The 27,678-nt window shown below is 46.9% G+C and overlaps 1 protein-coding gene, 1 long non-coding RNA gene and 1 other non-coding gene across 5 annotated transcripts in view, besides 2 other annotated features; 2 read left to right on the plus strand and 1 right to left on the minus strand.

The window, feature by feature from the left end:
- Positions 1-9,817: 9,817 nt before the first annotated feature.
- MIR3197 (microRNA 3197) lies at positions 9,818-9,890 on the plus strand. The gene has a single exon (NR_036167.1). It is a non-coding gene; the product is annotated as a microRNA 3197 (primary transcript).
- Positions 9,980-10,429: a silencer, noted in NCBI's record as "silent region_13329". NCBI's record gives its function as "represses an Ori minimal core promoter by ATAC-STARR-seq in GM12878 lymphoblastoid cells {active_cell/tissue: GM12878}" and the evidence as "EXISTENCE:reporter gene assay evidence [ECO:0000049][PMID:35858748]".
- Positions 10,421-27,678, plus strand: part of BACE2 (beta-secretase 2) — a 114,371-nt gene continuing 97,113 nt past the window's right edge. For all 3 annotated transcript variants that reach the window (NM_012105.5, NM_138992.3, NM_138991.3), the window contains exon 1: positions 10,421-10,836. In NM_012105.5, the coding sequence (NP_036237.2) occupies positions 10,525-10,836 (312 nt within the window). In that variant the 5' untranslated portion in view covers positions 10,421-10,524. The remainder of the gene's footprint in view (positions 10,837-27,678) is intronic.
- On the minus strand, positions 17,492-27,500 carry PLAC4 (placenta enriched 4). The gene has a single exon (NR_148920.1). It is a non-coding gene; the product is annotated as a placenta enriched 4 (long non-coding RNA).
- Positions 21,976-22,785: an enhancer, noted in NCBI's record as "H3K27ac-H3K4me1 hESC enhancer chr21:42551642-42552451 (GRCh37/hg19 assembly coordinates)". NCBI's record gives its function as "activates a minimal SCP1, AML or CMV promoter by ChIP-STARR-seq in naive H9 embryonic stem cells {active_cell/tissue: H9 hESC(naive)}" and the evidence as "EXISTENCE:reporter gene assay evidence [ECO:0000049][PMID:30033119]".

A 27,678-nucleotide genomic window follows, 5' to 3' on the forward strand; every position in this document is an offset into this window, starting at 1 on the left:
GTGTATAAAGTACAAGTTATAGTCAGCTAAAATTAATTTATTATTGAAGGAAGAAAAAATTTTTTTTTGAAGGAAGAAAAATTTTTAAATAAATTTAGTGTAACCTGAGTGTGTAGTGCTTATAATGTCTACAGTAGTGGACGGTAAAGTCCCTGGCCTTCACATTCACACACAACTTAGTCACTCTCCCAGAGCAACATCCAGTCCTGCAAGCTCCATCCACAGTAAGTGCCCTACACGGGTGTCCCATTTTTTACCTTCTATAGTGTATTTTTACTCTATCTTTTCTATGTTTAGATATGTTTAGATACACAAGTATTTACCATTATTTTGCAATTGTCTACAGTATTCAGTACAATCACATGTTTTACAGATTTGTAGTGTAGCAGCAGCAGTCCATACCATATGGCCTAGGTGCGTAGTAGGCTATGACATCTAGGCATGTGTGAGTATATTGCATGTTGTTCACACAATGATGAAATCTCCTGATGACATATTTCTTAGAGTGTATTCCATTATTAAGCAATGCCTGACTGTACTTTTTTTCTGGTCATGTTATCCACAATTGTTCAGATTCATTCGTTTCACTTATATGACTGTTTCTCAGATACTTCACCTTCTTTTTCTTGAATTCCTCCTTCTGATTCATTTTGTCCATTGGGTTGATGTATTTTGTGAGTAAAAATACAGTGATGGCACATGGAAGGTAAACCATACTTTTTCTGCTTCCTCCCACAAGACAGATAGTTGGGCTGGATATAGAATTCTGGAGTGTGTCACTTTCCCTGGGATCTGTTGCTCTAGTGTTTGCTACCATCTAGTCTTCCAGAGAGTCTCATGCCAGCCGGACACACATTTAAACAATTTCTCTTTATCTTTTGAATTCTTAAGTGTCTTTTAAAATAACCCCCCAAGCATTTGGCAAACATTGTTGATCTGATGTCTTCAGCTCAAGGAAAACTTCTTGTTCCTTTGATCTTTGTTTTACCTCCACCATTTCTGTTCTCTTTTCTTGGACTCCTGTGACATGGAAGGAAAAGTCTCCTGGATCTCTTTTTGTTCCTTTCTTCATTTCCATCTCTTTGCTTTTTTGTTCAGAGGCTGTGATAATGCCTTAAATTACACTAAACCGATACTTCACGACATCAGATTTTAGCTTAGTCCCTTCTGCCATTTACTACGTCCACTCAGCTTTTCTTTTACTCTCAAAAATTATACTTTTATCTCCAGTGATTATTTTTTAGCTCCTATTGCTCTTTTATTTTTTTTAAGTAAAAGCTCTTATTTCCTTGATAGAATAGCTTCTAAAATCTACCTGAGAGGGGGAAATGTAGAATGATTTCTTAGGTTCTCCAGGGCCCTCTCAGCTCAGTGGCCCTCCCTCAGCTGCGGATCCCATGTGCTGGGGTCTTTTTACCATCTACACATATTGATATGTGCCAGCTAAGGTGGATGAATTTGGGCAGCTAGTGTGGGCTCTCTCTGTCAGTAGTTTAATAGGAGTCTTTGGGAGACAGTGAAGGGAATGGAATTGTGGGCAAGGGTAGCGGGCACACTCCCCTTTGGGTGTGGTGCAGAGGTAGGATGGAGGCAGGCGGGATAAAGGCTGAGCTCCAATGCGGGTAGGATGGAGGCAGGCAGGATAAAGGCTGAGCTCCAATGTGCCGGGTGGCAGCTGGCACTTGAGCCAGCTAAGTGGCTGTGGAAGGTCAATCTGCAGGCCAAGGCTGGATAGTCACCTTCTGTGGGGGACACTGTGGTGGAATTATTGAGGTTCTCTAATTAATTCTCCCACAACTGCCCCAGGTTTACCTTTCCTGACCCCCAACCCCACTTCTGGCCTCTGCACTGGTGAGATCTTAGGGCTTTCTCTGAGAGGGCGCTGGAAAGTCCAGAGAAGCACATGCAAAGCCGAGCCTAAGAGCATTTCACGGCTGCCGGGGGTCTCTTCTCCCACCTTTTACATCACAGCATCAGCATCGTAAGGTGAACTGCAGCACCGCCCTCTTCTCTTGGGGTTCCTGTTGTCGGCTAAGGGCCCTGCCAGGCCAGATGCCCCGAAGCACTTGATCTCATTAAACTGATCGAATTTAAACAGGACCAGCCAGGGGTTCCGAAACTCTGCTGAGCACAAGAATCTCCCGGGGAGGGTGTGAACATGCAGATGCCCAGCTGCGCCCTGCAGTCTGACTTGCATTTTCTCTTGCCCTTTCTTCCTTATTTTCCCCCTTCCCTCCCTCCTTCACTGTTTTACTTTTTTCCTCTGATCAACTCATAAATCTGCCCAAAGGACAATCTCCAAATGGTCCCTGTGAAAACAGACACTTTTGCAGGCTCTAGCTTCCATTGGTCTTCCTCCAGATTTTTACCAGGGAAGGGGAGAGATGAAGACTTTCAGAAAATGACCACATAAATACAATACATTCTTGAAACACTTGTGTTGCCAAAGGAGTCAGTCTGCTGTGGCCAGCAACCCACTTCAGATTTTGCCACTCCAGGATTCCTCATTCCTGCTTGCGTTGGCATTAATACCAATTAGTCACGATGATCTGAAAGCCCCCGCGAATTCCAGAAGGATGCTGCATGTTCTAAAGACAATTCCATTCCCTCACCTAGGCTTCACCACTGCACAATTCATCCACGTTACCCAAAACCACTGGTACCCCCCAAAAGTACAGAGGGGATACTTTAATATATATAGAAATATATATTACATATATATATATATATATATATATATATATATATATATATAAAATTAAACACTCAAAGAACTACATACCTAAAAAGGTGAAATTTGCTTTATGTAAACCATGTCTCAATAAACGTAATATAAAAGAAAGAAAAGGGGCTGGGCGCTGTGGCTCATGCCTGTAATCCTAGCACTTTGGGAGGCCAAGGCGGGCAGACCATGAGGTCAGGAGATCGAGACCATCCTGGCTAACACGGTGAAACCCCGTCTCTACCAAAAATACAACAAATTAGCCGGGCATGGTGGCAGGCACCTGTAGTCCCAGCTACTCAGGAGGCTGAGGCAGGAGAATGGCGTGAATCTGGGAGCGGAGGTTGCAGTGAGCCGAGATCGCGCCACTGCACTCCAGCCTGGGAGACACAGCGAGACTGCCTCTCAAAAAAAAAAAAAGAAAGAAAGAAAAGAAATGGACAGTGTTCTTGGTGCGCTGGGAAAGGTGGAACAGTGCAGTTACAGAGTGGGAAACAGAGGGCATTCAGACCAAGCCCAAGAAATAAGGAGGTCAGGCAGTCGACATAGGCACCCCAAAAGTCACAGATACACATAGCCAAGGGGGTCACAGGCTTAAAACCCTAGATGACACTCTCAGGAAAGGAAAACCAGTGTCTGCTGAGCGACTGCTATGTTCCAAGTGTTGCCCAGTTTCACCAGCTCTAATGATACTAGGATACATGCCTCGACCAAAAGAACCATCCTTTCATGTACTACTAAAAGCATGCTACCATTAAACCATGATACTTTATTATTATTATTTAGGATTTCTGTTTTGTATGTATGAAGAAGGCTGGGCCCTATTTAGACATTCTTATATAAACATTATATATAGGTGAAATCAATTGTTAAATCATTCCTAACATTTTCCACACTCAGGCTAACTCTTCTGAATCACATTTGGACTTGGAGTCATCAATATCCATGTTTTTCCATGCGCTGTCATCTTCTTTGCCATTAAGATGTCAGGTGGTAGAGAATTTCATAAGAGTAGCATATGAGTTTCCTATACACTGCAGTCACAAATTATCACAACTTTTGTGGCTTAAAACAAAGCAAACCTTGTCTTCTACTTCTCCGGGTCAGAGGTCTGCCACAGGCCTCACTGGGCTGTCAAGGGGTCACAGGATTGCTTTGCTTTCTGGAGTCCACTTCCTTGCTGTTGCCAGTTTCTCCAGCAGCCTGTGTTCCCTGGCTCATGGCCTCTACCGCTGCTACAAAGCCAGCAACGTTGCATCTCTCTGACCCACCATTCTTCCACAGTCATGGCACCCTCTGAGCACAGCTGGAAAGGTTCTCTGATTTTAAGGATGCACTTGATTAGCTTGGGCTAGCATCTGGATTAACCAAAATAACCTCCCCATCTCAAAGATCTTCCTTGAATCACATCTTCACAGTTCTTTTTGCCATGTAAGGCAACTGATTTCTTGGTTCTGGGGATTAGGGCAAAGACATCCTTGGGGGACACTGTCCTCCTCACTACAAGCAGTTTCCTATGGTCTCCAGAACACCCCCAGCCCCTGACACCTTCCTGAAAATGTTTATGCTGGGGCTCTCTTGACACTGTCAGAAGCTGTCAACAGGAAGGTGTTAGACACCTTCTCCAATGATCCTTAGTCATTTGGTAACTAAAATGTCAGGAGAGTGGTTTCCCATCATGACACCAGGAATTACAACAATATGCCTACCCTCACCATGCCATGGCTGTGGCATGGAGAACATAAGACGCTACAGTGGCGTCTGCATCCTGGCTTTGGAGTGGTTAAACTAGGAACAAACAGAACTGAGAGACTGTAGAATATGATTTCATCCTCAGGAAGCCCACTACAGTGAGTCAACTGAGACTTACTGACACACAACTTCAGGAGGGGCCATTCATGTTGAGTCTATGAGAATATGCCCTCGGAGGTGGCCGGTAGACATGGAAATAAGGAAACCAGAGCTCAGGGGGCAGAAAATTGCCTGGAACATGCCAACGGTCTAAGCAGAATCAGAAGTTGATCCCAGGTCTTGAGGCTCAGAGCCTCTGAGCCTTCCATGGAGTATCTCCACGCTCATTAATACAGGAGGGCTGATGGTAAACAGACATTTGGAAACCTCTATCATTTTAGCCACCCACCTCTCTAGGTAGAACCTCGCCTAGCTGGGACCTTGCTGATGTAATATCATAGTAATGGGCCTTATTTATCCAACTGATATGCTCCTGAAAGCATGCACGGCTTTCTGTAAATGGGAATCCATTTTAAATACATGAGGAAAAATTGTTCTTTAAAGGAAGTCCGAGGTGAATCCCTACTTCCCTCTGGTCCCAAAGGTACCTAATTAGTCATTTGAAGAAGGCGACATGGGTTAGGTAAAAGAATATTTAGGCTTCTGAAGCTGACTGGGTTCAAATCCGGGATCGTCATTTCCTCACTGTGATGTCAGACGAGTCATCAACTCTCTCCCTCCGCGTCGTCCTCTGTGATGCAGGTGCATGTGCCTACCTGGGAGTGTTGGAGGATAAGAGTCCCAGGACATGGTGGGAGCTCAGCGTTCCTGTCCCTCAATTTCTTTTTATAAGGAAAATTATCATCCCTACCATCCCTGCCTCCCACTGCTTGAGGAGCAAAATGAGGCAGGATTTGTGATATTGCTCTGAAAATTGAACAGCACCAGCACCAGGCAAACAGGAGAGATTATGATGCAGATGGCTGTGTGTTGAGTGCTCCCATCACATGAGAGTCCTATGATGCTTCTTCCCTGTGCTGCGAGGGCTTCATCTCCTAAGCACTAAATGCTAAATTCCCCCTCCCACGCCCATCGCCACTGTCCTCACGGATCCTCGCAGCAGCTTCCCAATCGGTCTCCCTGTCTCCAGCCTCACCACCCCCAACTCTCCTCCACCTAGAAGCTAGAGTGGTGTTCCCAAAAAGGAAACATATTTACAGTCAGTCTGTCTCCTGCCAAATTGTAATTTCTGATGGAAGGGGCTTTCTGGGTGTTATTCGCCCATGTGAGCCCGCCTCTAGCGTGGAGCTTGGCACAGGGAGGGTTCAGCATATGTCTGTTAAGTGCCCGGTTATGGATGCAGCCTGTAGGGTTCCACTGGCCTATTGCACTTTCTGTGTCCTGCCAGGATGCGGGTGGCATTCTGGAGGCCTCTCCAGCTGGGGCAGTCCATGAGCTCCAGAAAGTTCACATCAAAGGGGTGGCCCTGGCTCCATGAGGAAGAGTACAGGCTCTGAAATCAGACCCAGGGTTCTGAATACCATTCCCACCTCTCACCAATCAACTATCAATTCTGTGCCTCAGTTTCTCGTCTGTAAAATGAGAATGATAATAATGCCTGCTAATAGGGTCATTTTTGTATTAAATAACTGAGAATATTGCCTGAAATCCTTGCCAACCCACATTATTTTGAAACAAGTCTCATTTCATCCATAAATATGGCAGCATGTGTCTCCACTAGATAAGAGCTCTCACACACACAATACCACTATCACACCTAAAGTATTAACAATAATTCCATAATATCATCCAACCAGTGTTCAAATTTCTCTAATTGTCTCATAAACAATTTTGTCATTTTGTTCAAATCAGGACTGAATAAGGTCCATCTATTGCAAGAGACTGATAGGGGTACTGGGATTCTTTTGATCTATAGCAGGGGTTGGCAGACTTTCACTGAAAAGGGTTAGACAGCAAGTATTTTGGTCTTTGTGGGCCCTTCTGTCTTTGTTGCTATGACTTAAACGAATGGCTATGGCTGTGTTTCAATAAAACTTTATTTATAAAAACAGGCAGTTGGCCAGATTTGGTCCCAAGAAGGCAGATTGCTAACCTGTGATGTACAGGCTTGTTCAGATTCAGGGTTTTTTTGTTTTGTTTTGTTTGGCGATAACATGTCATAGATGGGTAGCATTGCGGATTTCCATCCGAAGGCTTAGAATGTCAGGGTGTTTCTCTTTCCCTCTCCCTCTAATATTATCAGCCATGTACATTCGGTGTCCAGATTCATTAACTCATTAAGGGAAGTAAAATGGCAACATTCTAATTCTATCGTCCCTTCATTTATTAGCTGCAATACTTTTACAAAGAGAAACTCGCCTTTATCTACTATTTGCTTATACTGACGTATAGTTTGTACAGGAAAGTTAAGATAATACATGCTTGATCCCTTTCCTTTCTTTACCAGCTTTTAAAAATAATGAGTTGGGCTTCTTAGCATTCTTCAAAGATAATCAATGTACTTTTAAAAAGAACATTATGAGCAAATAGATTTCAACATAATTGAAGTGTTTTGAGGCATTGCAGTTACTGCCTTTAATGATGTTTAAATTGTCTCCGTTTTGCCCCAGCTTATGACAAGACCTCAGAAGTCTTTGATAACATCCTTGCTTTCTGGTGTGATGAGATATTCTAGGGTTATCTTATTCAGTTTATAAAATCAGCCTTCTCCAAAAAGCCCTGGTTCTCTCTGGAGGGAAGTGATATTTAGTAACCCTAATATGATACTAAGGATACTTATTGTTTCCAGAACTTTTCAGTAGATATATCAAAGGATCATTTTTTTAAAGGCCTCAGAAATACAGAATTCAGAATACTGAAATTTCTGAATCAGTTCAGGACCACAGCTGGCGCCTCTATGGGTAAGGTAAGTATGTGGGAGGTAAGATCCCCCATGATCAAAGCTGTTTGCGTCCCTCGGCCCAGCCCGATCAAACTTCTGGATGCCATCAAAGAGATCTGCCTAACCTAAAGATCATTGTTCTTTAAAAGAAAAACAAGTTCATTAATCATGTGAGGAGGCTTGGGGCCAGGATATAAAGTTAATGACAAGGGACTCCCTTCTATTAAAAGGACTATGTGCAAACAGGCATGCCTGGAGGAAGCCAAGGACCACGATAAAGGAAAACAAACACCTTATGATTCATCTAACATAGGCCCGGTTACAATCGCAGGTGTAAAAGGAACTGGGAGCTGGCAGTGAGAGACAACAAACATCAGTGGAACATGGGATGGTGACTCTTTCTGGCTGAGCGCCACACGTTCCTACCAGGAATCTTCTATTAGTCATTTGGGCTGGAGAGTGAGATCCTTCCTCGCTCTCCACCGTCCAGGGTCATGTTTAATGGTGATGTTTGTTCTTTCCAAGGAGAGAAGGCCCATCTAATTGCAGGGCTTTTGTTTTCCTGAATGGACTCAGGAAGGCCATGGCTGAAAACGAGGGTGCTGAGAGGCTGTAAGGAGAAGGGAAGGAGTTGGAGGCTCTGGTGGAGTGAGGAAGAGCAGGGCAGTATCCCATGTCCTCTGATGTTAGGGGTGAGGTCAGGAGGGTGGGTCTCACCTTCTCCTTTCTCTGCCCTGCATCGGTCACCATGGTTTAAAAATCAATGCTATTCCATGAGAGGGCTGCCACTTATCATTTCAGTTCCAACACCTGGAAAGTAAAATTATTGTCTCCCAAATCCACCCAGCACCATAGGCTTGAATAGGGATCATATGCTCTAAGACCATTCATGAAAACAGAGACAACCAAGGAGACAGTCACCCAATGCTGTCCCTTCAGCTTGCATTATTTTCTGACAAGACAGCTCTGCCATCCATGGAAGCCTGTGTGCTCCTCCATCCCTGGATCTTTATGCATCCTTTTCCCCACAAACCCAAACCATCCCTCTTAAAATGAAAAGCTTAGGAATACTCACCCTAGACTGAGTCACGCGTTTCTTGTACAAACTTTAATTAGACTTGATTTTTTAAAAATTTCCCTTGTGGCTTTTAATTATTAGACAGAGCAAATGTCTCTAGTATTAAACTTATATGTCACATAGCCTCTTTATCAATGGCCCTAATACATTTCATGTGCTTTTCAGAAAGATTATATTCTTCCCAGAGCTGTCTGAATGTCTTTTTGAACCCCTCAAGACTGGACACCAAGGAGTATAAATAATCATTTTAAAAAAAATCACATTCCCTCCACAACCTTGAATCTGAAACGTGAATATATGAATAGAAGGGCTCTGGAATAACTATGCAGATTTATGGAGAATATCAACTTAAGTTATATCACGGGATCCAGCTATGCCTTTCTTCATGGAGTTGGGGATTTGTTAAAGTTGAGATATAGTTTGGGGGAAGTGTGATTTATGGTTAAAGTCATCTGAAAATCAATACATTTGAAGATCTCTGACATAAAGGTCCCTTGCAGAGCTAGACGTGATTCTAAAATTGGGAACACAGGAATAAAAATCAAATCTTGAGTAGAAGTAGCTGAAAATTGCAGTGATTCGGGGAAGCTTGGCTTCTAACTCCCCACTGTTTGAAGATGGGCTTGTTTGTTTTTTAAAACAGCCAACATAATTCAGCTGGAGGAGGTACAAAGAATTTTCTATTCCTTGTTTCTGTAGAAATCGATGGACTTTAGCTTGTCTAATTGTCCCCCCTGCCTTTAGTATCTAAAATAAAATAACCCTCGTTGCTTGCATTACTCAACGCATTTCTGCGTCTTGGCGTCTATGGCTAAACGAGTATTAATTAGACAGTCCGCAGAGAGCTGGCTGGGGATAGAAGGGGAGGTGGGGGAGAAGGGCAGGGATCACAGCAGGGTGGACTCGTGGCCCTGATTTGGGATCCTGACAGCAACTTACTAGGTGGCCTGAGGGCTGGGTGCCAGGGGAGGCAGCGGGTTCCAGTAGCATCTGACCTGCATTAGGGACAGGGGCGCGGCGGAGGGGGCGAAGGGGGCGGGGGTGGGGGGAAGGTGGCTGGGGTGAAGCCCAGCTTCGCAGCTAGCTGTGGGCAACAGAGGGAGTAAGGGGGGGCAATGAGGCTGGGGCCAGGCGCCAGCAGCAGCCACGCCCCCCACCTCCCCCGATTTTTAGGGAAAATTCTCCAAAGCTCTCGCATCCTCCTCTGCCTCCTTCCACCCTCCACCCTCCCAGCCTCCACTGAGACCTCTTTAAAACCACCCAGGGGCCGCCGGGGGATGAGGCCGGGGAACGGGCTGGACTGAGGGCGGGGGCTCGGGGGCAGCGGACGGGAAACGCCTCGAAAGCAGCCAGACCCGGCGACTGAAATGAGGCGGAGGAGCTTGGCGAGGGGAGGCGCAGGCTCGGAAAGGCGCGCGAGGCTCCAGGCTCCTTCCCGATCCACCGCTCTCCTCGCTGACCTCCGAGTCACCCCCGGAAGCTCCCGCCACTGCCGGGCGAATAGACCCCCGCGGACCCCCAAGCGCGCGGGGCCGGGGCCCTAGTTCAGGCCCTCGCTGCCCCTTTAAGGGTTCTCGAAACTTTCCCCCCGGTATCAGATGAGCCTCGTCACATCCGTTGGCCGTGGCCGCTGGGGCGCTTTCCGAGGAAATTCGGGACTCGAGTTTCCCGGGGAAGAGGCGCGGCCTGAGCCCGGCGAGGGTGGGGAGGGCAGGCGCAGGTGGACCCCGGCGCCCCCCGAGCCCCGCTGTGACCTTGGCCGCGGGGGAGGGGCTGGGCCGCTGCGGGGCAGTCGCGGCCGCCAGAGGGGGCAGCGGAGAAGAACTTGCCCAACTTGGCGGCGCGGGCTGGGGCGGCTCTGCGCCTCCGCGCCCGCCTCCCCGGCCTCCGCCTTCTCCCCTCCCGCGAGCCTCCTCCCCTCCCGCGAGCCTCCTCCCCTGGGCCCTCCTCCCGTCCTCCCCGCCGCCGCCGGTCCCGGTGCGCGCCCATCCCTGCCCGCAGCCCCGCGCGCCGGCCGAGTCGCTGAGCCGCGGCTGCCGGACGGGACGGGACCGGCTAGGCTGGGCGCGCCCCCCGGGCCCCGCCGTGGGCATGGGCGCACTGGCCCGGGCGCTGCTGCTGCCTCTGCTGGCCCAGTGGCTCCTGCGCGCCGCCCCGGAGCTGGCCCCCGCGCCCTTCACGCTGCCCCTCCGGGTGGCCGCGGCCACGAACCGCGTAGTTGCGCCCACCCCGGGACCCGGGACCCCTGCCGAGCGCCACGCCGACGGCTTGGCGCTCGCCCTGGAGCCTGCCCTGGCGTCCCCCGCGGGCGCCGCCAACTTCTTGGCCATGGTAGACAACCTGCAGGGGGACTCTGGCCGCGGCTACTACCTGGAGATGCTGATCGGGACCCCCCCGCAGAAGGTAGGGACCCCCGGCTGCTGCCGCGGGCTTTTCGGGCTCGTTGGAGGGAGGGGGCTGTCCAGAGACGCCTCCACGCGGCTTAGCGTCGCCCCCAAAGCAGCAGCTGTCCCCGCACAGAAGAGCGGGGAACGCAGAGGGGCTCGGGTGGGCCGGGGAGCGGGGGCGCTCGCTCTTGAGTCGCGGAGGACGGCAGCCCCCGCCCGGGGCGCACTGAGGGGTGTGCGCGAGTGTTTCAGAACTTGTGAGCTCCCCCTCCGCGGGGCTGGGCGGGAGAGGAGACCTGGAACTTGCCGCCTCCAATAACGTGATTTCCTTCTTGCGGGCGACACCTACTTCCAGCGGGAGACGGAGCGGTGGGCCTTGGGCGACGGGCTATTATGGGGAAAATCACCTCGTGTTCATACCCTCCCTCCCCCCCGCCCCCCCCCCACCCCACCACCATGCTGTCTCATTGCTAAAGAGGCTCGTGGCCGGCTTCCAAAGGCGCAGTACCCTTTAAAAAGGATTTATGCATGAGCTCAGCTAAAAGCAACCCGGTTAAGAAGTGGCTCGCTTGCTGCTCTGAGGAAGGAGCAGCGTCTCCCCTGCGCCCGCTTTCCTTTCTCGGAGTTGGTTTGTCAGCTGTGTCCTCGCTCATCCGGCGGCCCTGCCCCTCTGCACGGAGCGATGCATCTACACGCGGGTGTGCAGAGTGTGAAAAGCATTCCAGCTACCGGGAAAAAAACAGGGGCTGAGTGAGGTGTCCGGGGACCAAGTGGTATCCCGATTACAACACAAAAATAAAATCAAACAGCTTTCCTTTTCTCTTACTCTGATGTTCATTTACTAACACTTTTTGTAGCAAGAAACAAATGTTCCCAAGCACAGTGATCTGAAAAAAAAAAAAAAAAAATCCCAATTGATCTGCCCCCTCCTACTTTCAAACTGTCTAATCCAAGTGGGATTTGAAGTCCTTTGCTCAATTGAATGCACTATTTGAAGATAGTTTATTTTTATTTTTAACATTGTCATTTGGGTTTTGATTCAGCTATGATTCCCCCATAAATAGAACATACTCATGACTTTTGTATAATTCTCATTAAATTATTCAAGACTTTAAGAGGAAAGACATGCCATGCTAATTCTTTTAAAAAAGGAAACTGCCGAATAACTTCTGTAGTTGTTTAATTAGTTTAGGGGGAAAAAAAAACCTTCAAAAGCGTATATTCAAACTTTGATTCTAGTTGCCTTTCGTCTAAGTCATGGGAAGCCACGTGAGTGATCTTTGCCATCTCCAGGAGTGGATGGTTAGAGGGAGGGAATAGGAATCCCCATCAGCTGAGGGAGCTTAACTTGGCTGTAAGATGTGGTCTTGGTGCAGCCAACACGTGGGAACATGTGCCTGGTGCTGAGAACCTTGGAAATATGACAAGATATTGAGGAAGAACCTCTTCTGTGACCTGCAGAGAATCTTTTGGAACAGGCCTTGAATGAATCCCCATTGGACATGTGTGCTTTGATGCGAGGGAATTCTCTCTACTAAAAGTAAATGTGGGTGGTCTGAGGGCTATGATAAAAGAAGCCCTGAAACCCTCCCTCCAGAGCAAAGGGGAAAGGGAGAAGCCTGAAGAAGGACTAAAAAATACTTAACTTTGGCAATCAAAAAAAAAAAGCTTTTATAAATAATAACTTGCCTGTTAATTAATTCAATGACCTTTATTTTAAAATGATGAGGTTTAATTAATTTAATTAACAGAAATGTATTGAGTACCTAGGCTCCTGTCTTTACCGTAGCCAAGGCAGTAGTTGGTTCAAGATTACTTCTCAACCATTAGCATGTTTCCAGGGAGCGCTGCTTCTACAGAGACAGATTTAATTTTTACATGTGATGGGGAATGAAATATCCTGTACCTCCCTCCTGGCTTGATTTAGCGATAAGCTGCTTTATAACCAAATCTTTCCAAATGCCTACTGTAAAGTCAGGCTTTCCTGACTACTGCATTAGGATTCACTACCTGCCTGTGTTGCCCTGAAATGTCTCTGACCACCAGCAGGGTGTCAGCAGCCGGCTAGAGGGGGCAGCAGTGAGGTGACTTCTGAACCTGGAGTGAGCTTTCCTGCTCTATTAATGGCCAGGAGTCATGCATTTATTCTCTGCTGATTCTCTGAAGCCTAAAATAAAAATTGCTTAGGTGGAGAGAAAAATGGAATTGTAAATTCAAGCAATAAATAACCAAGAATTTTTCAAGAATTAAGTAATAGTCATAGACAATGTCTGAAAGCTCAGTACGTGACAAGCACTGCGCTCTGTGCTTTAGGTGTGCTTTCCCAGGAATCCCCACCCACCACCCACCACCCCTCGGGGGTCTTATACGCATTTGGGGGTGGGAAAACTGAAGCTCGGAGAGACTGAATGACTTTCCAGGGCAACAGGGCAAGAAAGAGGGAGGGCCAAAAATGGAAGCCAGGGAGCTGAACTTCAGAAGCCAAGTTCTGAACCACCAGACAGATAACGACTTCCTTCCCTTCATGCCTCCTGATCTCTTTGGTTTTGGCCTCAAACTACCCTTTCTAGCCAGAGAACCCTGAACGTACACCCCAAGGTGTTAGGGACTTATTGTATGACTGCAACTGGACCCTCCGGAACTCCGTGCTGTTCCCCCATCTCCTCTTTCCTTCAGCACTGCTGAATGAGCAACAGAATGAAGGGCTGGATCCAGGTGTGCACGGGAGAGGCCTTGAGAGGAGAGGTTCAACAGGAACCAGAGCCCTCCAGCTCCCCTTCTTTTATGGGAAAGTCAACTGTTGGAAGTGTGCTTGTTCCCCGAAGGCTTTAATCAGGAACTAGAGGTCCATTGTTTAAAGCCCAGTGACTCTGTGAGGAGTCACAGGCATGTGCCCGGAAGCCCGCCTGAGAGCTGCAAGGCGTGTGTGCTGGCAGGCAGGGCCACGTTGGCATGGAGATGACTGCCAGGTTTGCGGCTGATCCCATTATGTGGGTTCTTTCGAACTGTAGAACTTTTGAACAGTTCTTTCAACCAGCACCTGCTTGAACCGTGCAATTTGGTCTTATTAATAATAACACTCTTCTAAAGTAATTATAATTACAGCAATTTCTATTATGAAAAAAGAGACTTTCATGTTAACACAATAACTCCAGCTGAAGACAGGAGAAGGTGTGCAGCCATATACCTTGTAGTAGCTTCAAAAAAAGCCTTTGGGATTCTTTTTCTGAAAGATTTTCTGTCATCTCCACTAACATAGGTAAAGCAGACAGCAAAACTATTCTCATACCTGAACACTTGAATGTAAAGGGCCACCTAATTATTTTGGCGAATCCTATTTTAATCATGGTGCATTCACTTGATTATCAGCCTCTTAGTACACAATTATTTGGAAGACTTGTATTGAAAATATGGATCCAGCATATGCAATAAGAGTTTGTGTTCTTCAGAAGAAGCCATCCAGGCTCCCCAAATGAAGCTGACTGTAGGTGAGGCTGAAAACAAGAAGGCAATCCCAGCAAGAAGAAATCTGATGGAGCCACTTGAAATGGTAAACTATTAAAGACAATGAGAAAAAACAATTACTGAGGTTGAAAGAACAAGAAAGTCAAAGCCAGTTTGCCACCAGCTCCTTCGAGTGAGAAGTGGCAGCTTCTGGGCTTTAGAGAAAGAATTCATCAAAGACTGTATTACAGAGGACTGGGAAAGGTGAGCCAAGAAATCAGCTTGAAACAACAAGGAGGGACAGGAGTCTGAGAAATAGTTTATAAGATCAAGAGCTGACCTTGATTTCTTGCTGATGGAGTGTTGGACACTCAAAGGGCACGTGAAGCCCTGTGCGTGGCTCACCTCATTGTATCCTTGCAACGTCCTGGAAAATGTGCACAACAATGTGACTTAATTTTCAGACAGGGTAACCGAGGCTTGGAGAGGCAGAGTAGTTTGTCCAGGGCCACACTAGTGAAGGCAAAGCAGGGTGGAGCTGTCAATCTGGGTCAGCCCAGCTCAGTCTTTGCACGTCACTGCCGTTCCTCCTTAGGTGCAGTGTTTTAGTTACAGTAACTTTTTAAGAAGAACCATCTTCATGCTTCTGGAGATGATGTGGTTTGACAGGAAGCATCCTGATGTGATTACAGGTCCTGAGCACTGTAGTGTCACACCTGTGACCAGGAGCAAGTGTGTAACCTCCCTCATCTTCCCTTTCCTCAGCTGTGGAGAATCAAATTTCTGCATTAATGTCCTGGTCTCAAAACAATAGAAACTTGTTCTCATAATTCTGCAGGCCAGAGTTCAAAAAGCAAGGCGACAGCAGAAACACTGTCCCTCCGGAGGCTCTGGGGGAGGATCCTTCCTTCCCTCTTCTTAGTGTCTGATGGCTGCTGGCATTTCTTGACCCTTGGCCGCATGACTCCAATCTCTCCCCTCCATGTAAGTTTCTGTGGCCAAATTCCTCTCTTCTTATAAGGAGACCAGTCATTAGATTAGGGCCTGCCCTCCTCTAACCTGACCTCATCTTTACTTCATCACATCTGCATAGACCCACTTTCTGAATAAGGTTAAGTTCACAGGTACCGGAGTTACGTCTTCAGCATATCTTTTGGGGAACATGATTTAATCCACAACAAGTTCATTCTAAGTTTTTCATTCTATGGATTTTTTTTCTTTGATTCTACCTCACCTTTTAATTGTTAATAATTTCAATTTGGGATTCAAGTGTAATTGTTATCACAGGCAATACACAAATGACGATTTTAGTGCTGTATTGATATGAAGCCTGCGGCAAGAGAGTGCCCTGGGGCTTAGGGTGGGAGAAGGAAGAGAGGAGTGTTTCTGCTTCCCTTCTGTACTTCTGTATTGTTTTTCCTGCTGGAGAGTAACTGCTTGAAAATTTAAAATGTCAGGCGGGGCGCGGTGGCTCATGCCTGTAATCCCAGCACTTTGGGAGGCTGAGGCGGGCGGGTCACCTGAGGTCAGGAGTTTGACCTGACCCAGCCTGGTCAACATGGTGAAACCCCATCTCTACTAAAAATATGAAAATTAGCCAGGCATGGTGGCTTATGTCTGTAGTCCCAGCTACTCAGGAGGCTGAGGCAGGAGAATTGCTTGAACCTGGGAGGCAAAGGTTGCAGTGAGCCGAGATCGTGTCACTGCACTCCAGCCTGGGCAACAGAACGAGACTCTGTCTCGAAAAAAAGAATTTAAAATGTCCCATGTCATGTTGCACTAATTCTAGAATTGCTGAAATTAATGTATAATATGAGAGAAATCCAATGTGTACAAGATTAGATCAATGATATTTAAATACCTATGAGTAATAAACACTTATGTTGGGATGGATGTAGAAAGCTTCAGTATTTCATGTTTTAAAGACATTATAAGGCAACCCCCTTATCAATCAGGATATATTTAATATGAAACAGGTGCTTCCCCCCATACTTCCCGCCATACTCATCCCTGATCTCCTTGTGTGATCTCCTTGTTGTAGGTAAGTTGGCTTCACCTCCCCTTGCCTGCCCATTTTTCCTTTTTCCTCCTGGAATGATCCCAAAATGATAAGGATAGCTGTTGTGATCAGTGGCCTTTTTTTTTTTTTTTTTTTTTTTTTAAACAGTCTCGCTCTGTTGCCAGGCTGGAGTACAGTGGCCTGATCTTGGCTCACTGCAACCTCCACCTCCCAGGTTCAAGCGATTCTTCTGCCTCAGCCTCCTGAGTAGCTGCGACTACAGGTGTGTGCCACGACAACCAGCTAATTTTTGTGCTTTTAGTAGAGACGGGGTTTCACCATGTTGTCCAGGATGGTCTTGATCTCTTGACCTAGTGATCTGCCCACCTCGGCCTCCCAAAGTGCTAGGATTACAGGCGTGAGCCACCGCGCGGCCAAGTGGCTATTCTTTTGTGGTGGTGGTACGTAGCTGCATTGCTCCCAGGGGTGGAGAGGGAGGAATTTAAAGGTGGTGTTTCTCTCCTTCTCCCTAGTATCTGACAGCATGCCTTGGGATTTATGTAACATCTCATTCATAGACTAGAGCAGGTCAAGCATTGGCCCCTGAATTCAGGGTCTACCTGTGCTGGAGAAGAGGTGGGGGGTTAGTGGGCACTGACTCTTGCCCCAACCCCACACTGGGTACAGCAGGAACGGGGTGGTGGTCCTCCTTGCTGGTGAGTGAGGTCCCTCTCCAGGTGACCTGAGGCTCCTATGACTGACTGTGAGCCTCTGCCTGTCCTTGAGTCCCTTGCTGTGTGTCATGGATCCCTCCTCTGGGTCACCCTGTTTGCCCAGCCTTGGTGAGACACTGGGGTTCATTGTATGTTAAGGTAACAGATACTACCCGGACAATAGGGCATACCTGTGAGGCAGGTGGGCAGCCTGGCACCCCTTCTGTAATTTCCCTGGGTATAAACATGTTTCTGGTGGAACCTGAGGAAGAGAGTGTCACCTCTTCTGGGTGACTTTCCTGGCCTGGCTCCCCTTCATCCTCTCTTGGCCTAGATGTACTAATTTGATATTTGACTATTGCTACTCAATACAAAAAAAAGTGGTCACTTTTTTGCTCTTAGAATTCTCAAAAGAAGAGAGAATACTCTGGGAGTGCTGACATTAACCACATAAAGGAAATGAAATGAGTGTGTTTGTTTTGTGCTAATGCTTGCTGTCCAGCCCAGGCCCCGGGTGGGATGTTTTCAGATTTTTATTATATGGCAATCATATACCTGCACCTAGAAATATACAACCTCGGCGCTGCCATTGCAGGAAGACAAAGAGACTGTCTAGAGAGTAACGTGGCGATGCCCTGGGCAGCTCCATCATTCCAGGGTACCATAAAGGGAAGTGGGAATGCACACTCCATCTGTTTCACGCTAGGCTGAAAGTGGCAGGGGGAGAATTTACACCTGGCCTGCAAAAGGCAGCCTTGTGTTCCCACTTCAGAGCCCCAACTTCTCCAAAGCCAGTGCTTGGGAAATGGCCTTGTTGGCAGCAGGCAGGAGACTGGTGCAGTGTGCCAGCTGTGCAAACCCCCACCAGACTGGTGCAGTGTGCCAGCTGTGCAAACCCCCACCAGCAGCACCCCCACCAGCAGCCAAAGAAAACAATTTCTAAAGCAGCCCCCAGGATTTCATGCCACGGGGGTGGTGAGGGGTAGGAGGAGGTGGAAAGCATTGAATCAGAAAGTCTTCCAGGTACCAGCAATGCCAGGGTTAATATGGTCTGGCTTGCTTTTCAGGTGAGCACCTGTAGCTGGCAGGAAAGTGGCTTCTTGGTGGAGGTGGGCATGAATTCCAGAAGCCTTGGAGAGACATCCAGAGCCCTTCCCACTACATCGTGCTGCCTCCTGGGGAAATTCCTAAGCTTTTTTTGAATCAGAAAAGCCACTGACAAGCAGACAGAATTGTGTGGCTTGCGCAGTGATTGGAGAGCTAGGTGCTTTGGGTACTAGTCCCAGAGCTGCTACTTGTCGAATGTTGGGTATTGGAGAGAAGTCATTTGAGCTGTCTGAGCCTCTGTTTCCTCATCTGTAAATCAGGGAATTTGAACAAGTGACCTCAGATTCCTTCTAGAAGCTCTAACAGTCAATGATATCATCTATTTCATTTGAGAGAATCTCCATAGCTCTAATTTTTTGCCCCCAGACCAATCTGCTTCAGCTTTGTGTGGGTGCAACACCTGGGGTCCTGTTAAAATGCAGAATCGGATTCAGTGACCGAGAGCAGAGCTGAGGGTGGCTGCTGCCAGCTCACAGGTCACACTTGGAGTCGTTGCTTCTTTCCCCAAACCAGCTGCCGATGGTTCCTGGAAAGAGCAGGAATACCTTGCAGAAGGGCCTAGAAATAGAGATTCCCATATGCAGTCCAGACTTATTGGGTGAGCCTGTCTGCACTAGGACCTGAGAATCTGCATTTTATTATATCCCTTGAGTCCCCTTTAAGCAGCCACGCTGGCCCCAGCCATTGGACTCTATTTGGAGGCCACTGCAGAGGCCAGATGCCCCTCTGCTCGGCGGTTTCCTGTGCAGAAAGGCTGTGTTCTTTCTTCTTCCTAAATACTCTTCCTAGGTTAAGTGTTTCCTTCTCTTTGCCCATCTAGAAAATCTCCACCTCAAGCAGGTCGTGTTCCAAAAACTCCTCGTGTTGGGCAAGTGGAAAACACGCAGTTTTTTCTAGGGGTCTCATTCTGAGGCGGTGCTGCTGAAAATCTTGGTGCTGAACGTGTGTTTTTGAGATTTCCAGTCTATCACAGGGCCACAAGGTGTAAATATCAAGAAAAATGAATTACTAGAAAGGCAAAGTGAAAAAGACATACAAAATACAAGTGTCATTCTTTTTATTCTTAGTTTGGACAGATAGTCCATTCTTCTACACTGGTCCCACGGTTTCTGAAGCTTCCTGTAATGATCAGTGGTTACCTTGTTGCCCAAGTAACTGCAAATCCCTCCTCTACAAAGTGTGCTTGCTCCAAGGCAGTGCAAACTAGAAGTTGTTACAAATGGTTCCAGTAACAAATTTGTTTGGCGGCCTTTTCCCATGAATGAGACAGTGGTTATTTTTGCTAAAGCAGAAAGGAAATGTGATACTATTGGGCTGTGTTTTGCCCTCTGGAGTAATCCTGCTTGGGGAAAATGGAGGCTTGTTCCAGAATGCAGAAATCCCTGTTAAATTAGGCAGTCTTGGGCTGGAGGACGTGTGCCTGCCTCCCCAGTGCCTCACAACTCACATCTCTAAAGGCCACTCAGGTGGGACACCATCAAGACATTGAAAATCGACAGAAGGAAGGCAGGAAGGGGAGAGGATCGAACCTGTCAAAATAGATATTCAGAAAATCTGTGCTCTAAAATAAGGCAGCCCTTCCCTCACAGCACACTTATTCCTAATTTCAACAGGACTCCTAGTCTTGCCCCACAGCGTCACAGCCTACAGCAAATTAGAAACTGGGGTGGGGGGCGGATATTATTCCACCAGTAATACCCTTGGGACGGGGCACACAAGATGTTTGCCCTCCTACCTCTCTGTCACCTTCCCAAGAAAGGGTCAAGATGAAACAGTGTGCGTTTATGGTATTGCGAGAGTTAAGTGAGCTGCGGTGTATTAGAACCTTAGCCTCGCGCAGCGTCAGCCGTGTGGTAAGTGTTCCATAAATCTTCGTTTAGAAAAAGTGGCAAATTCCAGGCTGCTAGTAAACAAAGGAGGGAAGACAGACAAAACGGAACAGCAACAACAGAAAACCCAAGAACTAGATGCCCAACAATCTGGGTCTGTATCTTGAAGGAATGTGCATCCTGTCCTCTGACTGCAAACCCAGGCCTTCTGTGGCCCCACGATGCTGCCTCCTAGCCCTCCTAAGGTGGGAATGGAGCTTTACCCCTTGGTGGCAAACAGACCTGGCTCCATGGATCTCAACCTGGGGTGATTGTGTCCCCACCCCAGGGGACATCTGGCATCCTCTGGGGACATTTTGAGTTCTCACAACTTAGAGGGTGCTACTGGCGTCCTGTGGGTGGAGACTGGAAGTGCTGCTCGGCATTCTTTGCCGTACAGGGCAGCCCCCACAACAAAGAACGATCTGGTCCAAAATGGCAACCATGCCAAGATTGAGAAATCCTGGTTACTCGACACAGCAGGTCGGCTGGCCTAGGAGTTGCTGCCCAGAGAGGCAAAGGGAGAATGTCCAGTGGAAACAGCTGCCCTGAGCATACAGGGCACGCTGACACCTGCTGATTCCCCCATCCTTAAGGTCCTGTATTGTTCCTAACACCACGTGGATCTTCTTGCCAGATGCATTAAAGTGTGAGAAGAGTTAAAAATCACTTATAACTGGAGTGACTGGGGGTTAAAGAGGAGAAAAAATTTGAACCTGACTCAAAGGATGAGCATGTTTTTCTTTCTTTCTTCGGCACATTGGCTGGGTGTGGCGGCTCCATGCCTATTATCCCAGCACTTTGGAAGGCCGAGGTGGGAGGATTGCTTGAGGTTAGGAGTTCAAGATCAGCCTAGGCAACATAGCAAGTCCCTATCTATATAATTTTTTTTTTAAATTAGCCAAGCTTGGTGGTGCATGCCTGTAGTCCCAGCTACTCAGGAGGCTGAGGCAGGAGGATCACTTGAGCTCAGGAGTTCAAGGCTGCAATGAATTACGATTGTGCCACTGCACTCCAGCATGTGCAACAGAGCAAGACCTTGCCTCAAAACATATTAAGCACCTACTGCATGTCAGGGCCTTGGTCTAAGCCCTGGTATGCAACAGTCAACTAGACAGAGAGAGTCTTGGCTTTTACAGAACCTCCCCTTATAAGGAAGACAGATTGTCAAGGAAGTAAACAGACTTTTAGAGGAGTGCTGTGAGACAGTGCCATGTGGGAAGGGGTATTGGTGAAAGAATCCTGCTTTATAAGGGCGGTTATGGAAGACCTCTCTGAGGAGGTGCAATTTGAGATGAGATTGGCTTGAGGAGGACTGAGCCTTCAGAAGTTAGGGAAAGCGTGTCCCAGGCTGCAGCCAGGGAGGTGAAGACTTGAGGGTGTCAGGGTGAGGAGTGAGGGTGTCAGGGTGACTGAGGGTGCCAGGGTGAGGAGTGAGGGTGTCAGGGTGAGGAGTGAGGGTGTCCAGGGTGAGGAGTGAGGGTGTCAGGGTGAGGAGTGAGGGTGTCCAGGTTGAGTGAGGGTGTCCAGGATGAGGAGTGAGGGTGTCCAGGGTGAGGAGTGAGGGAGTCCAGGGTGAGGAGTGAGGGAGTCCAGGGTGAGGATTGAGGGTGTCAGGGTGAGTGAGAGTGTCCAGGGTGAGGAGTGAGGGTATCCAGGGTGAGTGAGGGTGTCCAGGGTGAGGAGTGAGGGTATCCAGGGTGAGTGAGGGTGTCCAGGGTGAGTGAGGGTGTCAGGGTGAGTGAACGTGTCCAGGGTGAGTGAGGGTGTCCAGGGTGCAGAGTGAGGTGTCCAGGGTGAGGAGTGACGGTGTCTGGGGTGAGTGAGGGTGTCCAGGGTGAGGAGTGAGGGTGTCAGGGTGAGTGAGGGTGTCCAGGGTGAGTGCACATGTGTGGTGAGGAGGTGTTTGCAGTGCTTCAGGCGCAGCAACTCTTTCATCTAGTTTAAAATTGTGCTCTGAGGTTAGATTTTAGTAGAACAAAGGCCTTACAAAGAATGTGAAAACATTGTGCTTCCCTGCTTACAGGCAATTAAAAAGGAGAATCAAGCTGAGGGTGCCTGGTGTGGGGTGGGGTGGAGAAGACCACAGAGACTATTGTGTGTTTTATTCAACAGTGTCCTGGGCTGCTTTCTCCAGAAATGTCCCTGACACATGGATGTAAGTGTGGCTAGTTTACTGGGAGATGATCCCAGTGATGCAGGACAGGCGAGCCCTAAGATTGAAGCATAGCCCGGGAGGGTTCTTAGCTTTGCCCAGGAAGGAACTCAAGGGCAAGCCAGTGGTGTTAGCAACTTTTATTGAAGCGGCCGGCTGTGCACAGCAGCAGCAGAGGCGCTGCTCCTTGCAAAGCAGGGCTGCCCTACAGGCTGTGCGCCCACAGTAGCAGCTCAGAGGCAGTTCTGCAGTGGTATTTGTATCCACTTTTAATTATATGCAAATGAAGGGGCAGTTTATGCAGACATTTCCAGGGTGAGGGTGGTAACTTCTGGGTGCTGCCAGAGCCATGGTGAACTGACTTGACACAGGTCGGTGTGTCCTATGGAAACTAGCATCTGCCCTGGACCTATTTTAGCTAGTGCTCAGTTTGGTCTGAGTGCCTGAGCCCCACTTCCAGAGTTGAGTCCCACCTCCTACCTCATTCCCCCTTCAGAGATTAGATACTCCTCCTTAATCTTAAGGGGGCTGCAGAAGGGCGGAGATCTGTTTTCCGTAACTACTTCCTGCTGAGTTTATGGACGTAGGCCCTGCCTGGCACTGGAGGAGTAAAAATCTCTGGATACCTGATCTAAGGAGCCCAGAGGCAGGACGATTTCATTCTCCGTGTCAGTGGACAGGATGGGCTGGAAGCCTTGTGCCAGCATTGTCTCTGGAACTGTGGTAATCTAGAATACACAAACTTTACTAAGAGGTTAAAGAAGCAAGGACCAAACATTTGTAACAAGACAGTTGTCAAAGGTCCTAGAAGAGGTGAAAAACAGGTGAGACTTGGGAAGGCACTTTTGATGGTTGACCAGATATAGTTGGGGGCAGTGCCCTGGTTATATCTATGTAACTAGGTAGCTTGCTCATAGATCTTTTGAATGTTAACCTCAACCTGTCCAGAGTTAATATATGTGCAGCAGGTTTTATTAATAACTGCACAAGACCCCACCTTGTTCAGCTAGTAAATAATCCAATGCTAGTCTGTTATCAACAACTACATTTTCCAGAGTCTGGGGAACTCTTGAATTCTCTTTAATGCCTGATCTCCGTTGGTGGCTAAGGATTCTAGGATTTGAGCCAAGTTCTTTAGCGTTAACTCATGGTAGGCAAAGCCACCCCAGGGTGCTGCTAGTCCTATTGCCACCCTGATTCCTGCCAGAATTAGTTTTATTGCTTACTTATTTCTGATATTCTTGGGTCCTAGGCGTTATAGATTGTGACCCCTGGAGGGGTAAGAGTGGCCAACGTTCATTCATGTCAGTTCCAAGTTTTTTAGATACAAGGGAAAGCTATTCCTTAAAGAAGAGGTGACTCCTTAGGGAGTTGGAGTGGTTACAGGGTGTGACTTCTTCCCATTCATAGTCACAAACAAAAATGAACCCAACTAGGGCACCAAGAGAAGCCCTGCGGGGTGCGATGTTTATACTTCATTGCCAGGTTGGGTCTATAGAGATATTTTCCACCTGTTCTCATGGTGGTGGTTGAACAATCTTTGTTTTCTAGAAGAAGGTAGTACTGTCACCTTCCCAGATCAGGCAGTTGTTTTTCCTTTGTATGTTCCCATCCGGGAGAAGGTACCATATATGGTCTTTTCACTCACAAATGGAATCTCATTTACCTCCCCGTGGTCTTGGAAACTTGGCAACTAGAGTTGGACCAGAGCATCGCAGGGAAGCTTCCACTTTTGTGTCATTAATGCAAGAGTGGATGCAAATGTTAGAGTTATGAGTGCACTGGAGATATAGATGCCCAACTTCCCAGATTCCGATAATAGTGGTCAGGGCAGGGGGACAGCAGGGTCCAGGGGGGATCCACTAAGTGGGGAAGAGTTCCACTTCACAATAGGGGTTTGGGTATTTTGGGGTGCTATGGTTAGTTAGGAGGTCTGGGGACATGGTCCTGAGATTTTCCAGATAGGTCGGAAGATGAAACTGTCTATCCTGGGGGTGTTGATGACAAATCTGGCAGCCATAAAGATGATTCTATGATGCTATAATTTTTGAAATATTTACTGTAGAATTTTGTCCACCCTCCCTGTCCACATACACACTAGCTTAGGTTAATTAGAAGAGCAAACAGAATTAACAGTGGCATCATGGTATCTGGTTGGGTCTTAGAGTAGCTTCTATACCCAACAAGCCCACAGGAGATGTTTCCCAGGAGGAGGTGGCTGGTTAAAGCCATAGAAAGGAAGTACTACAGTCAGGAAGAAGAGCAAGATCAATGCTCCTATTCCCATCTACAGCATTACATTACCTCTTCTGGCTGAGTGTTGATTATTTTAAATAGGTAGCAGAGGTCTTCCAAAGCTTTACTGATATTGGTTGTGGTTGTAGTGCCCTTCCTTTGTGCCTGTGACTCATAAGAAACAGGTTTAGTCCTGGATCTGTGTGCCCAAGTAGGTGTTCCCTGAAGTTTAACAGCAGTGGGGGTACTTAACAATACCTGATAAGGCCCCTTCCATTTCATTGTAATTGATTCTTGGGGTATCCCTGTCTTTACCCTGTCTTTAAGGTTTTAGCAAGACTAAGTCTCCTGGTTGAACCGGGGAGCTATTTTTTCCTTTGTGGGGAAGGACAGTATTTTATTTTTATATTGGAGGGCCTTTTGAACCTGTCCTAAATTCTAAAGGGGAGGGGGGAAGGTTCATATAGGTAATTACTACAAGCCAAGACCACAGCAGCTCAACACATAAAATCCATAGACAAATCAGTTTTACAACCCCATTTCCTGGCTTCTAGTTCTTGGCTTCCATACTGCTCAAAAGGAGTTCAAGGGCCAATGAGTGCCCGCCCACCTCCACACTCATGCACTGTGCAGATGACTTACACAGACCATCTACAACATAGCTGAATTTCCTGACATGTTCTATACTACCTCTTTCTTAAAGTTATTTTACTCTAGGATAGGGAATTTACTATACAGGATTCCTCCACATATAAAATTACTCTTTCTTTATATCCTTCCTTGCAAAACAAACAAAAAATACATTTTCTATTCATAATATTCTTTACATCTCTCTTTTCTACTCACTGGTTCACTCATGTTTTGAACCTCCCATTTAGTAACTTCCGGATTAGACAAAAAATTTTTTCTCAATAAAGAATACATTTCTTTAGCACATTTTATGGAAACCTAGGAAGGAAGAAGTCATGAACTTCACACTAGACATTGTCATTCTATAACTGAGAACCATTCTACCATTTTATGATTTTAAACCACACATTAAGCATATCCCATTTACGTGTATTTAATTATTTCACTTTTAACTTTATCTAGATCACCGAGAACCAAGGTACCATGCAAAGCTGGTCACCATTTAAAGCCATTTTAACCATTTTAAAGCCTATGAACATCAGTGACTTACCTAGGTAAAAATCCTAAAGTTAAATTTTAGAAGATACAAGATTCTCTTCAAACTAATAAGCTTTCAGTAGTCTTATTTGTTGAATGTATGAGTGTTCTTTTATCTATAAGCCAGTTTGACAGCACGCTAGATGTAACACACATCACAATACATGTACATATACCCAAAAACATATTAAATAAAATGACCTATACAAGACAACTGGATTCAAGTTATTTACAGAACTGGGACCCATCTACCTGGCCAAATTTTGTTTGCCCCGATAGGTATGGAAAACAGGAAAAGGCAGGACAGGGAATCCCATAGCATCAACTAAAAAGGGGAGGAAGCAAACTGCATTGCTCAAAAGGAGATTCTGGAGTCCCCACGCCACTGGAGAGCACACTCAGTGGTGGAAATACCAAAGAAAAATGTTCAGGCGGCTGCTTATCTGCCACTGTGGAAAGCTGTCCTCTGGGACAGTAAACTTACTTGAGCTAAGCAGCTCACTGGGGCTAGTAGGAGAAGGTTAGCTCTAGTATTGATGGAAGCTTTTTGTTGTTATTGTTCTCTCTCACCAGAGCAGTTAGGACATTTGCATTGCCAGGGGCCCTTTTGCGTATAGTAGGCGCAGTGATTCTGGCCCAGGGGTCAGCAAGTCAGGCATCAAGTCTTGTCTAGGCATCCCAGATGCTAATTTTGTAACATTTTCTCAAGATGAGTAATCCTGAGGGGCAAGGAGGCTTAAAGTCACTGTTAACAATTGTACTTTTTGGCTATTTCTTTTTACTCCCCTCTTTTGCCCTGTCCCTGTTGTTGTAAACTTTAAAGGCTATGTTTAAGCGTCGTTTCATAGGACTTGAAGGTCCCATTGCTGCTTTTTGTAGATTCCTCCTAATGTCAGGAGAAGATTGAATGAGAAAATGTATACCCAGGAGAGCTTGCCCTTCTGGGGTGTCTGGGCCTGCATTAGTATATTTCCTGAGTGCTTCAACTAAAAGACCCTGAAACAGAGCGGGATTTTCATCTTTTCCCCGAGTTACTTCTTTAACCTTGTCATAATTGACTGGCTTAACCACACACTTTTTCCTCTACTTTTTTTTCCCCACAGCACAGCAAGCGGATGACAATATTTGTAAATCGTGGCAATTTGAAGAACATAGTCAACGTAACAAACTCTTGTATAAGCTTTTCTGGTTTATCTGAAAACTGGCCAATTCTTTCCTTTTATAAGGTCTAATTAGACATGGAAAGTGGCATATGTACTCTTTGAGTGTTCCCTCATTTCCATCAACTACTTTCCACAGTGGACACAGGCTTGACCTTAGGGGCTGATATGGAGCCCCACTCCTGGTGTACTGGTTGGGCTCATTTTCTTGGGCAGCAGAGGGTATAGGCTAGGGCTAGTTGGATAAGGGGGAAAGGTGCCTGATGATATTGGGGTGGAATCTCATTAGGGAATTGGCGAGAACCCCCACTCAGGACTGGGGGACTGAAGAGACTCTGGGGAGGCTTATGAACTTTCTATGGGGAGCAGCTAGGTGGGGATCCCTTATGCATGGCATTCTAATGCCTGGAAGTAACGTGATCCAGTATAGAGCCATAAAAGCCTGTACATAAGGGATCTCTTCCCATTTTCCTTCTCTTTTACAAAATAAGCCTAATCGTAAAATATCACTATAGTATATAGAACCATGTTTAGGCCAGATATATTCGTCATCTAACTTGTATTTAACCCAAATGGTGTTGCAATACAAAATGAGTTTCTTTTTCTTTAAGCCAAATTTGAATTTGCTCCAATAGCTTAAAAGACACCCTAGCGGCGAGTCCCTTGGGATACTCCTTGTTGTCCCCATGCCTATATTAAGGATCTCTCTACAGAGGGTTTTATTAGCCCAAGTTTAGCAAAAGCCTAGTTACTCTTCCCTCTTAAATTCCCGTGTTCTTTAAAGGTGTAAATATAGATAGCAAGGTGTTATAAAAATGGATTATGAGCTACGAATGGGCAGTCGAATGTGGAGCCTAAATTCCATAGAGATCTAGAGTTGGGTGGAGAGGGGGCTAAACAAATGGAGGAAGGGAAAGGGGTAAACAGCGTTGCCCAAGGGGAGACCTCAGAGGCTCTGACTTGCTGAAGAACCTACCCAGTAGTGGAGATACTGAAAAAAATATTGGGCT

The sequence above is a fragment of the Homo sapiens genome, chromosome 21, assembly GCF_000001405.40.
Source record: "Homo sapiens chromosome 21, GRCh38.p14 Primary Assembly".
In the NCBI taxonomy this organism is placed as follows: domain Eukaryota; kingdom Metazoa; phylum Chordata; class Mammalia; order Primates; family Hominidae; genus Homo; species Homo sapiens.